Genomic DNA, 16783 nt, shown 5'->3' on the forward strand with positions numbered 1-16783 from the left:
GGCAATTTCCTTATAACTAAAAATAATTGGCTTTATGGGAAATTATGGCCAAAATTTTAATGAAATTATTCATACTGCTGGGTCAACATTTATAATTTTGATTGAATAAATATGTTATTAGAACTAATAAAGTGTTAAAAAGTTGATCTTGCTGTATTTTTTATCTGAATTGTTTTACAGAAACCATTTCATTTGATTTGTTGTGTTCTTCAGAAAAAAAAGCAGACTTTAAATTAATCTTGGGAGGCTGAGGTGGGAGGACTGCTTGAGGCCAGGAGTTCAAGACTAACCTGGGCAATATAATGAGACCCTGTCTTTACAAAAACATAAAAATATTAGTCAGGTGTGGTGGTATGTGTCTGTAATCCCAGCTACTCAGGAGGCTGAAGTGGGAGGAATGCTTCAGCCAGGAGACTGAGGCTACCATGAGACATCATTGTGCTACTGCACTCCAGCCTGGGTGACAGAGTGAGAACATCTCAAAAAATAAAAAAAATAAAAAGACCAACATGCAATGTTCCCCACTCCCCCACAAAAATTTAACAAATTCTAGTGATTCTCCTTCAGTGTGGAAAAAAAGCCAAGCCAAGACCCAGCCACTAACAAATTAATTAACATGGGTACCAGCATCTTATTTCCAGCTCTTTCATTCTAGAGTTTGATTTTGAAGTCATGACGTATATACAAGTATTCCCCCTAGACCCAACCTGGCCAGGGTGTCTAATTTCCTGGCTTTGGCTTAGGAACGGGAACTTAAGCTGAGCTGGACCAGAGGCTTCCCTGAGATTCTCCTGCCAGAGAGATCAGGAAATGGTTATCTTTCTGCTGGGGTTAGTGCACTCATAGCCTGTATCTGGGGTCTGCAGCATCTTCCCCCAAGAGACGGATGGAGCCACGAGGTTTCTGGGCTACATGTGCCTAAAGCCAGCTGTACTCTGGCCTCTGTGGCCTAAGCCTATGCATTTATCTCTTTTCTCCACTTAATACTAGTTTGAGTTGGGTTTCTGTAACTTACTAATAAAAGACTCTTAATATTAAAAGTAGAAAAAAATGACTTATCAATGAGCTGGAGAAAATAATACATATAAGAGCAGAAATAATGATAAAGAAAAGAAAGATATAATAGAAAGGATCAACAAAGCCAAAAAGTGGTTCTTTAAGAAGATTAATAAAATTAATAAACTTCTGGCAAAGACAGATAAAGAAAAAAAAAAGAAGCCCAAATAAATCATATCATTGATGAAAAGGGGGGACAGATATAGCAGAGATTAAAAAGATGTCTACAAATGTGAAAATTTACATGCAAATTCTGCAACACTGTAAATGGCCAAAACTGCTGAAGACTAGAAAGTTTAAATGAGGTTTCATGTAATAGCTGGCCATAACTGTTGAAAAAAATAAACTGTATAAAAGTGTATGAAGTCAGCTGGGCACGGTGGCTCACAGCTGTAATCCCAGCACTTTGGGAGGCCAAGGCAGGCGGATCATGAGGTCAGGAGATCGAGACCGTCCTGGCTAACTCGGTGAAACGCTGTCTCTACTAAAAATATAAAAAAAAAATTAGCCGGGAGTGGTGGCGGGCGCCTGTAGTCCCAGCTACTCAGGAGGTTGAGGCAGGAGAATGGTGTGAACCCGGGAGGCGGAGCGTGCAGTGAGCCGAGATCGCGCCACTGCACTCCAGCCTGGGAGACACAGCGAGACTCTGTCTCAAAAATAAAAAACAAAAACAAAAACAAAAAAAAGTGTATGAAGTCAGAAGTAGGCTTTGAAAAATGAAATAGTTGGAGATTTTAACTTTACCTGCCCCCACTAGGCAATACGTTTTAATGTATAAACTGTTAAGAAATAAGTGAACAAAATCACACCAAAGGAAATCTGCCTATTTTATTTCCATTAGAAAAATATTATCTATATAACATTTTGTTCCACTATCTTCTCCTTGATCTCAAATTTAAACACTTTAATTTTACTCAAGTAAAAGCAGAATCACATAACGGACATCAAAACTAAATAGTTCACATCATTAGTTTAAATTAAATATGTTCTTGATTATTTCTCAGGAATAGTAACTCTTCTTTCCTACCTGGTATTTCTCTTTTGTTTACTGAGTAACTATGTAATGGGTATCTCTTTCCTATATTCAGTAATACAGGTGCACACAGGTGTAATTTAAAAAAGTAACTGGATTCCTTCTCTAATATTCATGTTCAACTCTCCCTATTACATGGTATTTCCATAATAGCTTCAGATATTTTCATCAAACTCACACTGTCATCAATTGTGAAAATTAAAAGGTTAATTAAGATGTTACATCAATTGTAAAAATTAAAATGTTAACAATTCCAGACTACACAGCACTGGGCCCACTTATAGTGATGCCGTTGTCAGTGGTCCTTGGATAGCTACTGCTTCAATTTCAATTCGGCTGCCCTGTGAGGAAAATGAAAGAATTTGTTGTAATCATTTTGTACAAATTGCAAACTCTATAATACCTACTAAAAACATGCAACCAACAGCAATATAACATTTTTAACATTAAACTTTTCAAGGAAGGAAAGGAGAAGGAAATATTCACCAAGAACCTATAACAGACCAGGTTACCATGCTAGGTATATTCATATACTATATTAGCTTATGTGATTCTCACAGAAGCCCTATTAGAGACGTATTTTCCCCTCAATTCACAGAATGATATGCTGAAGTGTAGAAGGAGTAATTAAGTCATCCCAAGTCACAAGCTAGATAGCAGAGGTTGAACCCTTGTCTTGTGATTCCAAGTTCAGAGCTCTTTCTACTACACCCAGTACCTTAATAGGTTTGATAATGATCATTCCAAGTAACAACTAATTAAAGCAATACAAATGACACTCTTAAAACATAAATTTTCTTTAGTAGAAACTGCAAGTGGAAGTCAGTAAGAGCTGCTTTTTTATAGGCAGGAATATTGTGCTGCTAAGCTTTGAGTTAAAAGTAGCAAAATCAAAATGGTGAGAAATATGTGTGCCCCTGGTTTAGAGATTATTTTTCTAGTGGAAGGCTTAGATTTTTAATTGTACAATATCCAGGTGAAATTTTTACTGCAGAACTCACAAACAAACCTGGCTCAAATTTATAGTCCCCTAAGTAACACTACAACAGTACAGCTGCTATTTTATTTTTTCTCACAATTTTTTTTTTTTTGTGATGGAGTCTCGCTCTGTCGCCCAGGCTGGAGTGCAGTGGCGCGATTTCGGCTCACTGCAAGCTCTGCCTCCTGGGTTCATGCCATTCTCCTGCCTCAGCCTCCCGAGTAGCTGGGACTACAGGCGTCCGCCACCACACCCGGCTAATTTTTTTTTGTATTTTTAGTAGAGACGGGTTTCACCATGTGAGCCAGGATGGTCTCGATCTTCTGACCTTGTGATCCGCCCGCCTCGGCCTCCGAAAGCGCTGGGATTACAGGCGTGAGCCACCGCGCCTGGCCTTTTCTCACAATTTAAGTATTTTGATTCTGATTCTATGTTCATGTGCTGTCTTAAAAGGTTTCTTAATTTTTTTTTCATGCATGTAATATGGGATATTTCCTTTCAGACTTTAAGTCCCTGGGGAAGCAGGGTCTATTTCTTTTCTTTTTTTTTTTTTTTTTAAGAGACAAGGTCACACTGTTACCCAGGCTGCAGCACAGTGGTTCGATTATAGCTCACTGCAGCCTTGAACTCCTGGGTTCAAGTGTTCCTCCCACCTCAGCCTACCAAGTAGCTGGGACTATAGGTGTGCACCACCACCATGCATGGCTAATTTTAAATTGTTTTTGTAGGGATGGCTGTCTTGCTATGTTGCCCAGGCTGGTCTAGAACTCCTGGCCTCAAGCGATCCTCCTGTGTTGGCCTCTCAAAGCACTGGGATTACAGGGGTAAGCCACCCTGCCCAGGCTACTTCTTTTAAGTTTCCTTTCACAGTGCTTAGTTTACTTATAGAAGGAAAACAATGTAGAAACTGAAAACTGTGTACATTAGTCATTTAAAGTGTACTTACTTTGGGTAAAGCAGCAACTTGGTAAGCAGCTCTAGCAGGAAAATTACTCTTGAAATCTGAATTTAAAAGAATTTCATTTTTTTAATAGAGAAGAGTTGAAAAAATAAAGATCAAGTGAAAATTTTTATTTTAGTTTTCAGATATTCTATTGTTATTCAATATCTACAATTAATAATCTGGCAAATATTTCATATACTAGTCAGTTCTTAGATATAAGCAACATTTATTTTTATTTTTTTGAAACAGAGTCTTGCTCTATCGCCCAAGGCTGGAGTGAAGTGATGCGATCTCAGCTTACTGCAACCTCTGTCTCCCATGTTCAAGAGATTCTCCTGCCTCAGCCTCCCGAGTAGCTGGGATTACAGGTGTGCACCACCATGCCTGGCTCATTTTTGTATTTTTAGTAGAGTCGGGGCTTCACCATGTTGGCCAGACTGGTCTCAAACTCCTAATGTCAAGTGATCCACCCACCTCAGCCTCTCAAAGTGCTGGGATTATAGGTGTGAGCCACTGCTCCTGGCCTTAAGCAACATTTTAAAAAAGAGGCTCACTATCAGATTTGTTTGATAAAATATTTTGCCATATGATTCCTATGATAGTTAATACTTTTTAAAATCTCTTAGCTTTCTGGCAAAAAAAAAAAAAAAAAAAAAAAAGAAATACATACCCTAACATTTTGATCTTGTTTGATGTGAATGGAGTTTTGTTTTTAAAGTGATATTTATAAACTATTTATCTAAATAGGGAACAAGTGCCCATCTCCAGAAATTTTGGCAAGTACTTCCTCTGCCAACTTTGGTCTTTTCTAATAATTTCTTCAGGAGAGAATAAGTAACGATGCTTTTTCCAAGTTATACCTTTGCCTCATCCCATTAGGTGTTGGGGACACCAATTTTCCCTACTATAACATCAATGTTAATAATAGCTAACATTTACTCAGTGCTTATAACACACCAGCATCTAAGTGCTTTACATGTTGTACTGACTCATTTAATCATTCCAACAACCCTATAAGTTAGGAGTATATTATCTCCATTTTGCATATGAGAAAACCAAGGCATAGAAATATTAAGTAACTAACTAATGAGTCTGAGAGAGCCAGGATAAAGATGGTGGCTGCACCATACAGCCACAGTAAATAAAATCTATGCATAAAAAACTTGTTAGGAGAGTTTAAAAAGCCTGAGAAGGATTTAATGAAATTAAGCTTTTGAAAAATGGATATGTAGGATTTCAGTATATTGTTTTAGGGAATGCAATAGAAATGTCTTAGAACTTTTTCATGGGGGGTATACAACATATTTCCAATCAGATTATTAATTCTTTTAAGATCTATGACCATTTCTTTAGCATCTCCTACCACTCTTAATTCATAATGCACATTCATTAATGTGACCAGATTTCTTTCTTTTTAAAAATGGAAAATAGGAATAAAGCCAAATTACTTACACTGTTTGTAGATTTCATTGACAGTATTGAAGTCATTTATGTCAGCCAGAAGAACAGTTGTTTTCACCACTAGAAGATATAAACATTGTCATTAGGTTTAGTTATTTGGTCTGACCCAAAACATTACTTAGAAAAAGAGTGTATGAATCTGAGACTGTCTTGATTAAAATGGGACTGAAATGGGACCAAAGAAGTGAAGTAGAACAGTTGCTATTTAAAACAACTTTTAAATAGCAACAAAGATATGGCACGGCATCTTACTGGATGCCATATATTTTTCAAAAAGACCAAAGAAATATCAAAAAGAAATGTGAAATAATATCAAATTGCTCACCGTTAGTGAAGTCACAGCCTGCAGCTTTCAGAATTTCACCCATGTTTTTAAGAGCCTGTGAACCAAGCCAAGAAAGGCCTAAGTCACTGATGTTAGATTTAAAGCTTTAATTAAATTCAATTAATCATCTTTTACTAATACCTCCTTAAATAGCCTATGTTGCAGAAAAATCCTCCCTACTCGCTTACAAGTGTGTTTCTTGGCTTTCCTTTAATAGAATGAGTCTTTCTGATATATGGTGAAAATGTTGTCTCCTTTTGTGCGTAAAAAGACTAGGTTGAAGTTCCTTCTTCAGTGCTAAAATGTGTTAATTGTTCAGCCAATGTCCACAGAAATAATTTCTGGTGTTCTTCATTCGATATCACGTCAAGGATAAGGATGAGCTAGTAAGCATTAAAACATATTTTCTTTTAAAGCAATATTTGACTTCAAAGGGTTCTTTTTCCTTTTTCTCAAAAAAACAATATTAGTAAATTATATAACAGTTGGAGACACTGGCTTCTGGAAAAACATTTATCTTTTTTTGGATTCACTCTTCCCACTTTGCTGGTCACAATGCAATATTTCATTATATTCTTGTGTCTTTTAAAATAATCTTCTAAATAGGTAATACATGGATATGGCAACAACAACAACAAAAAAACTCAAAAGCTATTAAAAAAGCATATACCGTGTAAAGATATCTCTCACCCCTCTCTCCCTCTCCCAAGTTTCCCTCCTCAGAGGTAACCACTGTTCCTAATTTATTGTATATCCTTCTAGGTACAGTCAATGCTTATGTTACATATTTTTAAACACACAAGCACACATGGTAGCATACTGTGCATGTTGTTCTGCATCTTGGTTTTATTACCATGGAACAATTTACCTCGGAGATCTTTCCACATTACTTTAGTTGTATTGATCTAGCATAATTTATTCAACCAGTTCTTTATGAGTGGATATTTAGGTTTTTAAAAATCTTTCAGCTAGGCCGGGTGTGGAGGCTCATGCCTGTAATCTCAGCACTTTGGGAGGCTGAGGTGGGTGGATCATGAGGTCAGGAGATCGAGACCATCCTGGCTAGCACGGTAAAACCCCGTCTCTACTAAAAATACAAAAAATAAGCCAGGTGTGGTGGCGTGTGCCTGTAGTCCCAGTTACTTGGGAGGCTGAGGCAAGAGAATTGCTTGAACCTGGAAGACAGAGGTTGCAGTGAGCTGAGATCACGACACTGCACTCCAGCCTGGGCGACAGAGCAAGGCTGTCTCAAGAAACAAAACAAAACAAAACAAACTTTCAGCATTATATGACTCAGTAAATGCAGTAAATTATAGTTTATTGTTTTATTTTATTTTATTTTTTGAGACAGTGTCTTGCTCTGTGTCCCAGGCAGGAGTGCAGTGGCACGATCTTGGCTTCCTGCAACTTCCACCTCCCAGGTTTAAGCGATTCTTCTGCATCAGCCTCCTGAGTAACTGGGACTACAGGCATGTGCCACCTGACTGGGTTACTTTTTTTTTCTATTTTTTTTTTGAGACAGGGTTCTTGCTCTGTTGCCCAGGCTAGAGTGGAGTGGCACAATCTCAGCTCACTGCAACCTCCGCCTTCCGGGTTCAAACGATTCTCATGCCTTAGCCTCCCGAGTAGCTGGGACTACAGGCACATGCCACCACACCTGGCTAATTTTTGTATTTTCAGTAGAGACGGGGTTTCACCATGTTGGCCAGGCTGGTCTTGAACTCCTGACCTCAGGTGATCTGCCCGCCTCGGCCTCCCAAAGTGCTGGGATTACAGGTGTGAGCCATTGTGCCTGGCCTCCCCCAACTAATTTTTGTATTTTTAGTAGAGATGGGGTTTCACCATGTTGTCTAGGCTAGTCTTGAACTCCTGACCTCAAGTGATCTGCCAGCCTCGGCCTCCCAAAGTGCTAGGATTACAGGTGTGAGCCACATCGTGCCTGGCCTAAATTATGGTTTAATTATATTTATTGGATTAAAATTATATTCCCCATTCTTATTTTTAAAAATGTTGACTTTTTACTTCTGTGGTGGTAATTTTTTTTTTTTTTTGAAGAGGGGCAGGTCAGTGGCCCTGAGAAGAAAATTTCCCAATCCATGTGGAAGTGGCAACATGTCATCTGACGTCAATAATTCAGGTTTAAGGTCACCTTAGTGTTAAGGAGGTGGAATCTCTCTTTTGGTTGTTAGATGATTCATGATCCATCAAATTTCCAACTCTTAGATCAAAAACTATGTTAAATCAAGCAGTAAGTAGTTTAAAAAACATTTATCTGTTAATCTCTATAAAACAAATCAGGCAAGTGGATTCTTAATGCTCTTCAACATTAAAAAGGTAGTAGAAAAGGGAACCTTAAATGTGGAAAATAACTTACTTGTTTAGCTTCTTCTGCTACCCCTCCTGACACAAGCTGTCCACTTGAAGGGTCCATGCCTATCTGTCCTGAAATGTAAATGGTCCTGTCGACTAATACAGCTTGACTGCAATAAACAGAAAGCTAGTGTATTTATGTAAGTATAAAACATAAAATTCAATGCTAGAAGACTTTTTTGATAGGACAGAGAAGTATAAATTGTAAAAAAAAAAAAACAGATACATTGGACTTCATGAAAATTGAAAACTTTTGTTTATCAAAGATATCTTTAAGAAAATGAAAAGGGGCTGGGTGCTGTAATCCTAGTGCTTTGGGAGGGTGAAGCAGGAGGATCGCTTGGGACCAGGAGTTTGAGATCAGCCTGGGCAACCACTCAGTCTCTACAAAAAACAATAAAAAACAGCCAAGTATGGTGACGCACACCCGTAGTCCCAGCTACTCAGGAGGCTAGGGTGATTGAATTGCTTGAGCCCAGGAGTTGAAGGCTGAAGTGAGCCATGAGTATACCACTGCGCTCCAGCCTCAGTGGCACTGAGTAACAGAGAAAGACCCAAAATAAAAAAAGGGGTCGGGGGAAGAAAAGGCAAGTCATAGATTGGGAGAAAAATATTTGCAAAACATATACCTAATAAAGTACCTATATCCAGAATATAAGAAGAACTCTTAAAAGTCAATAATGTGAAGACAAACCCAATAAAATATGAGCAAATGATACTTCACAAAAGAAAATATACAAAGAGTTAGAGTACATGAAATTTGCTCAACATTAGTAGTCATTAGAGAAATGCAAAGCAAAACCACACACTAAGACATCACTGATAAAGTAAGCATTGGCAATGATGGGGAGCAACCCTCATACATTGTCGGTAGTAATGCAAAATGGTACAGCCACTTTAGAAAATAGTTTGGCAGTTTCTTTAAAAATTTAAACATATATTTAACATACAACCCAGCAAACTCTTCTTTTAGAGACAGGATCTTGCTCTGTCACCCAGGCTGAAGTGCAGTGGTAGGATGTTGGCTCACTGAAGCCTTGACCTCCCAGGCCCAAGTGATCCTCCCATCTCAGCCTCCTAAGTAGCTGAGACTAAAGGTGTGCACCACCATGCCTGGCTAATTTTTTATTTTATTATTTACTTATTTTTATTTTTTGTAGAGATGAGGTCTTGCTATGTTGCCTAGGCTGGTCTCAAACTCCTGGACTCAAGTGATCCTCCTGCCTTGGCCTCCCAAAGTGCTGGGATTACAGGCTTGAGCCTCAACTCAGCAATTTCTTTCCTAGGCAACTATCCAAGAGAAATGAAAACATATGTCCAAAGAGTTTACGTGAATGTTCAGAATAGCATTATTTATAGCAAAAAAGCAAGACACACACACATGCACCCACTGATAGATCCAACAAAGGACTATATATTGTCTTATTTCACTTAAATGAAACCTTAGAAAAGAAAATAGCAGCAGCAGATTATTAATTGTTGTCTAGGGCCAGGGGTGATCATAAATGGGTACAAGGGAATTTTTTGGGAGTGATAGAAATATTCTAAAATTTGACTATTATAGTGGATGCATGATTCTATACATTTACTAAAACTCATGGAACACTACACTTAATTAAAATGGGTGACTTGTTTTTTTGAGATGGAGTCTCACTCTGTCACCCAGGCTGGAGTGCAGTGGCACAATCTTGGCTCACTGCAACCTCCGCCTCCCGGGTTCAAACAATTCTGCCTCAGCCTCCCAAGTAGCTGGGATTACAGGTGTGAGCCACCACGCCCAGCTAATTTTTGCATTTTTAGTAGAGATGGGGTTTTGCCATGTTGGCCAGGCTGGTCTTGAACTCCTGACCTCAGGTGATCCGCCTGCCTCCGCTTCCCAAAGTGCTGGGATTACAGTCGTGGGCCACCACACCCAGCCATTAAAATGGGTAACTTTTATAAGTAACTTATACCTCAATATAGCTGTAAAGCAAAAAAATGCAATTTCAAGAGCACTTTTAAAAACATAAGTAGTCATCTTCAGACAAGATTAGTCACTGCTTATTGGAGGATCAATTAAGGATATACTTTTGAGGGTCCACTTCTGATATGGCTTGGCTGTGTCCTTGCCCAAACCTCATCTGGAATTGTAATGCCCATAATCCCCACATGTTGAGAGTAGGACCTGGTGGGAGGTGACTGGACCATGGGGGCAGTTTCCCCCATGCTGTTCTCATGATAGTGAGTTCTCACGTGATCTAACAGTTTTATAAGTGTCTGACAGTTCCTCCTACACATGTACACTCTCTCTTGCTTGCCATCATATACGATGTGCCTCTTCCCCTTCCGCCATTATTGTAAGTTTCTTGAGGCCTCCCCAGCCATGTGGAACAGTGAGTCAATTAAGCCTCTTTATAAATACTCGGGTTGTATCTTTATAGCAGTGTGGAAACGAACTAATACAACTTCATTTCTGCAAAGTGCTTACTTCTGTAACTGACTTTTTCTGTTATGAGGATGCTAAATTTCAGAAGTAGGATAAAATCACAGGAAAAAGAAAACAATACATTGATACCTGAAAAAAAGCCAAACAAGTCTACTTTTTATAGGAATGATATTAATTTTGGGATGAAGAAAGCCTATCTGTTTTTTTAAAATGTTGAAGAAAGAAGACTTAATGTAATTTTAATTTAGAAGTGAAATGTGGCAGGGCATGGTGGCTCATGCCTATAATCCCAGCACTTTGGGAGGCTGAGGCGGGCAGACCACTTGAGGCCAGGAGTTCAAGGCCAGCCTTGCCAACATGGGGAAATCCTGTCTCTACTAAAAAACACAAAAATTAGCCAGTGGTGGTGCACACCTGTAATTCCAGCTACTTGGGAGGCTGAGGCATGAGAATCACTTGAACCTGGGAGGTGGAGGTTGTAGTAAGCCAAGATCACGTTACTGTACTCCAGCCTGGGCAACAGAGCAAGACTCTGTGTCAAAAAAAAAAAAAAAGAAGTGAAATTTGTTTTAAAATTTCTATGCTTATTTATAAATTTAAGATAGTCTCATTTTAATCATCTTCTTTTAGTTCCCTATTCTTCCATTTTCCAACATGCTCCAAACTTTCCTCTTTTATTTCATGAAGTTTTCCTGGTCTTCTTGACCACATCTTTTTTTTCCCTTTATAATTTATTTTTGAATAGGAGTTCATATGGTTCAAAAATCCAGAAAATACACAAAGAATTGCAGTGAAAAGTCTTTCTTCCATTCTTGTTCCCTATTTGCTCAGTTCCCAGCCCAGAACCATTGTTCTTCTTTATGTATTCATCCAGTTTTTTTAATGAACAGATAACCAAAACAAATATATATTTTCTCTCTTCTTTTACATAAAATATGGTATATTAAACATTCTTGTACACTTTGTTTTTTTCACTCAACAGAATATCATGAAGATCTTTCCATAAGTATATGTAGAGTGCTTCCTCATTTTTTTTAACAGCTACATATGTTTTACAATATAGATGTACTTTATTTAATGAGTCACCATTGCTTCTGATATTTTGTTATCATAAATAAAACTATACTAAACACACACACACACACACACACACACACTTTCTCTAAGTAACTAAGCTTTTCTTTCCCCTGGATCCCAGGAGTGCTTTGGTTGTATCTTCCTTATACTATGTACAGGATCCTGCCTCGTGTTGTAACTCATCCTGTTATTATCCTGTCTCCCAAGGTATCTTAGACTCTAAACTCCTTGAGGTCAGGGTAATGTCTTACCATGTCTCTGTAGCTGTGTAGGGTGTAGGTGATTCCTTGCATACAGTAGGCACACTATAACTACTTGCTGATGTTTTGCTCTTTAACCACTTAGTAGCATAAACAATTTTGGTTGTCAGTGAATCTCTTTTTAGCAGGACCTGTTGACTTACAGCAAATGCTTTGGAGAGAGCTAAGGAGGTATGTTTAAACTTGATAACATGATTCAGAAAGTCTAGAAAGTCTTCTCAACTATCTGGCTTTCATACTGGCCCACAAATAGATAACTACTGAGTTTGTTAATTTGTAATCTTTTCTCGGGTTAAATAATACCATCAGTAACACTGTTTTTTATTAACTGTCCTGTGTAGAATTAGGCCGTCTGCCCTAGGTCCTGTGCAAAGTGCCTTCAGCTTTCCCCATATCTGAAACACACTTTAAGACCATATGCATTATTATTTATCAGAAACTTCATGATAGTAAAAAGAAACTCTTTTATTTTCAAAATATAAAAAGCAAGCACTGGAGCTGAGACCATCTGAGCTATGTGAGTTATCTCTTACAGATCTAAAGAGGTTTGTTCATAAGAATAATTGGCTAGTTGACACTTTCTGAGCATAAGAATCCTACTATCCAAAGACAAGTGGTTGGACTTCAGAAAATTTAAAAGTGCACTGTTCTACTACCAGGTTAAAGGGTAATCACACTTTCAAAAGCATTCTAATAATTCTCACATCATAGTCTATACCACACGGGCTACTGCTTCAAAAATTTATAATTATGAGGACGGTGTGCAAAATGCGCAATGCAAAGCAATGCAATGTTGAAATCTTTCAAGGTTCTGTCTGGAAGTATTCCTGAAATGTGCTGAGCTGATTGGCTAATTAGTGACAACACCCCATCCATCCCAATGCCAGGGACTGAAAGTTCAACACATTTGAATTCTTCCTGGAGAGGACCCAGGATTTTCAAAAAGTGTACTCACTACACACTCCACGCACAAAAACTCTTGTTCCCAAAAGGTTCCTAAAACATGTCCAATTAACATAAGTAGTTAGTTGCAGTCTGTTTTTTTTCTTAAACATTAACTATTGAAAATAAGCACCATTTCTAGTCACCTAGTGCACAAGAGGCACAATGTCCTGGAAGTCTCCACACCATGAAGCTGGCTGGTGGCTTTTTTTCTTGTCATACTGGCACATTCATATGATGATTCCCCTCTTTTTAGCTTTCAGCTTTATAAAGACAGTTGACTCCCACCTACCTTCAAGTCAACCAGGAACATTACTGTTATGCTTTCTTTCCTGAACAAAGTCCACAGAGTATCTCTAAATAGGTCAAGGAAGGGGTATGCTCTTTAGCAGGCTCCAGGACAAAGTGTCTCTAATAATCACTTTGATTTGGTTGTGTCCCTCTTGTTTGGAGGTAAAGATGTTTTTCTAAATGCTACCACTGTGTGATTGAGAGAAAGACATTAGGGCAGAAGGAGAAAAAAAATCACAAATTTTTACTTATAATATCCCCTAACTATTCTCACTTTCTTTACCTCCAAATTTCTATCAGAATTACTATCAGAATTCTTTTTAAAAGATCTGATCATGTTCCACCCTGCTTAAAAACATTTAGCCTGGGCAACATGGTAAAACCCCAGCTCTATAAAAAATACAAAAATTATCTGGGCATGGTGGCCTGAGCCTGTAGCCCCAGCTACTTGGGAAGCTGAGGTGGGAGGATGGCTTGAGCCCGGGAGGTTGAGGCGACAATAAGCTGTGATCCCGGCTCCAGCCTGGGTGACACAGCGAAACACTGTCTCAATATACACACATACAAACACACAACCACAACAACCACAAGAAAAAAACCACATTTAATTGTTCCTTATTATATACAAAATAAAGTTTATATTCTTCCATTTAGTATTGGAAACCACCACAACCTGTACCCTGCTAAAATCTTTTTTTTTTTTTTTTGAGACAGAGTCTCGCTCTGTAGCCCAGGCTGGAGTGCAGTGGTGCGATCTTGGCTCACCGCGACCTCTGCCTTCCAGGTTCAAGCAATTCACTGCCTCAGCCTCCCGAGTAGCTGAGATTACAGGCATACGCCACTATACCCAGCTAATTTTTTTTTTTTTTTGGTATTTTTAGTAGAGACGGGGTTTCACCATCTTGGCCAGGCTGGTCTTGAACTCCTGAGCTTGTGATCCACCTGCCTCGGCCTCCCAAAGTGCTGGGATTACAGGTGTGAACCACTGTGCCTGGCCAAAATCTAATTTTTGTTGGTCACTTTTATTTAATTCCCACAATAATCTTATCAAATGGTATTATTTATGCCCATTGAGAAGACAAAGAAGCAAACTAAGAGAGGTTAAGTCACTCTGCAAGATCATATAATTAAAAAGAGGCAAAACAAAAATTCAAATCCAAAGTCCAACTCTTAATCAGTATTTCTCAAAGGAGTCAGTCATACACAGTAAGACTTATACACAGTCTTACATAGTAAGAAAATGATTCCTTTTCCAATTTTTTTTTTCAATCTACACCAGGGACAACAAAGTAAATGATTAAGACTAGGCTCTAGTACCCATTTCCTAAATTCAAATTTTGTTACATCACTTTTTAGTGGTGTAACTTTTGGCAAATTATTTAATTTTGCACACATCAGTTTCTTCATCTGAAAAATAGGGACTATAATATAACCATGCACATAAATAACTTAGAACAGTGCCTGGTGCTGGCCAGGCATGGTGGCTGACACCTGTAATCCGAGTACTTTGGGAAGCCGAGGTAGGTGGATCGCTTTAGGTCAGGAGTTCAATACCAGCCTGACCAACACAGTGAAACCCTGTCTCTACTAAAAATACAAAAATTAGCCGGGTGTGGTGGCACCTGCCTGTAATCCCAGCTACTTGGGAGGCTGAGACATGAGAATCACTTGAATCTGTGGGGTGGAGGTTGCAGTGAGCTGAGATTGCACCACTGCACTCTAGCCTGGGCAACAGAGTGAGACTCTGCCTCCAAAAAAAAAAAAAAAAAAAAAAAAAAAGGGATAGTGCCCAATGCTGCTGAGTAAGCATCAGTAAATGTTAGCAATGATGACTCTACCCCGTTTGATTACATTAAGGAGAAAAAAAATCATCTTTAGAAAACAAATTAAAACATCACTTGAAAGTTTTTAATTAAACTTTTTTTTTTTTTTAAATAGAGATGGGGGTCTCACTATGTTGCCCAGGCTGGTCTTGAACTCCTGACCTCAAGCAATCCTCTTACCTCGGCCTCCCACAGTGCTGGGATTACAGGCGTGAACCACAGTACCCGGCTAAAGAAACATCACTCTTAACAAAGAGAGAGCAGGCCTCAGGTTTTGAGCCAACTGCAATATCTAGCTAAAATTTAATAATACCTTTTTTTAATTGAGTTTATTTTTTACTATTACTTTCTATTGAATTGTTTTCTATTTAGTGTACTGTTGTAAAGTTTCCTTTTTCAATTAACTTGTTAAATAAAATGAAGTGAGCCATCTCAAAGAAATAGGTTAAGTAAATTATAAGTGATATACAGATTTGGCAAACAAACAAACAAAAAAGACAGAAGTAGCACTTGAATTATGAAAACTTTCTCCCCAAAATCTTTATACCATGCATTCTTCTACCTCCATGCCCTCACTCAAGCCATTCCCTCTACCTGACTTCTACCTCCATGCCCTTCACTCAATGACTTCCTGTTGAAATCCTTAATAAATTAATTTAAAAATCAAACTTTACAACACTACTATAAATGACAAAACCAACCTTCAAAACCAAAGGACTACCTCTCACAAGGAACCTTCCTAAATCTTCTTTTTCCTCTTCCACCCCAAGTTAAAATCAATTTGTCTTTTTTCTCCTTTACTCCCTACCCCACTTGCCCTCTCACTTCTACTGCATTTTATTTATTTCCAAGTTTTCTATAATAATTCCTGTTCTGCCACATCTCAGTGCCTTTTCTCACAGCAGTAGGTTTAAAGGAGGGAGCTGTTGATGGGGCTCTTTTCAGTTGGGAGAGAGGCAGACCAAGTATGAAGCTAATGAAAGAAGTTGGTCATAAAGGACTGCATGTTTTATGATTCAATTTATAGGAAATGTCCACAACAAGCAAATCCATGAAGATGCAAGTAGATTGTCAGGGGCCGGGGGAGAGGAGAATGGGGAGTGAATGCTAATGGGGATGGGATTTATTTTTGGGGTGATGAAAATGTTCTGAAGAAAGTGGTGATGGCTGCACAACTCTGTGAGTATGGTCAAAACCACTGAATTGTACATGTTAAAGGGGGTGAATCTTACGGTACGTGAATTATATCTCAATAAAGCTGTTACCAAGAAAACAAAAACGACCCCCTCCCCCAAAACAAAACACAGGGTCTGAAGGCTTCTAACTGGGGAGAGCTTTCTGGCAGGCTGTGCTCCGCAGCGAGGCAGCCCCAGAACGAGCAAAGTCCCATGGAGTGCAGGTTCCTGGTCCCATCGTGGCTCCCAACTCTCTGTGGGTCTTCGGGCGCGTTGCTTACTTTCCAGGCTCAATTTCCTTGCGTGTTAGCTGGGGCTCCGGCCCGGAGTGGCCCCAACCCCGAATCCCCGAACCCGCACGCCCTGGGTCCGACACAGCTTCCACCAGCCACGTTACCTGTAGGGTCCAATGGCCCCTGGGGCTTTCGCGGTGCTGATCACCCTTCTGATCAAGGACGACATGGCTAAGCCTTCCCTCTTGCAGCCCCTTCAGGAGAAGAAGCCCCAGCACCAGCCCTGCTGGCTTCTTACTGGACTGACCAACCACAGCAGCGCCTCTGCCCCACAGCTCCCGCTGGGGGCGGGCTCGTGCGGCATTCTGGGAACTGTAGTTTCGGCGACGC

General features: G+C 39.2%; 1 protein-coding gene across 1 annotated transcript; it reads right to left on the reverse strand.

Annotated features, from left to right (window-relative positions):
* Positions 1 to 1869: 1869 nt before the first annotated feature.
* RIDA (reactive intermediate imine deaminase A) lies at positions 1870 to 16697 on the reverse strand. The gene is made up of 6 exons (NM_005836.3): positions 16558 to 16697; positions 8172 to 8277; positions 5798 to 5852; positions 5464 to 5532; positions 4015 to 4070; positions 1870 to 2430 (listed from the first exon to the last, which is right to left on the reverse strand). Exons 1-6 carry the CDS (start codon positions 16620 to 16622, stop codon positions 2368 to 2370), a joined length of 414 nt encoding a protein of 137 aa, NP_005827.1. The 5' UTR covers positions 16623 to 16697; the 3' UTR covers positions 1870 to 2367.

Source organism: Homo sapiens, chromosome 8 (assembly GCF_000001405.40).
Source record: "Homo sapiens chromosome 8, GRCh38.p14 Primary Assembly".
NCBI lineage: Eukaryota > Metazoa > Chordata > Mammalia > Primates > Hominidae > Homo > Homo sapiens.

Excerpts from the sequence above, each read along its gene's own strand:
- RIDA (NM_005836.3), bottom strand. The coding sequence starts at position 16,622 with ATGTCGTCCTTGATCAGAAGGGTGATCAGCACCGCGAAAGCCCCAGGG. Across the intron at positions 5,533-5,797 it reads AGGCTGTGACTTCACTAACG|TGGTGAAAACAACTGTTCTT; the intron begins GTGAGCAATTTG and ends TATATCTTCTAG. Across the intron at positions 2,431-4,014 it reads AAGTTGCTGCTTTACCCAAA|GGCAGCCGAATTGAAATTGA; the intron begins GTAAGTACACTT and ends TTTTCCTCACAG.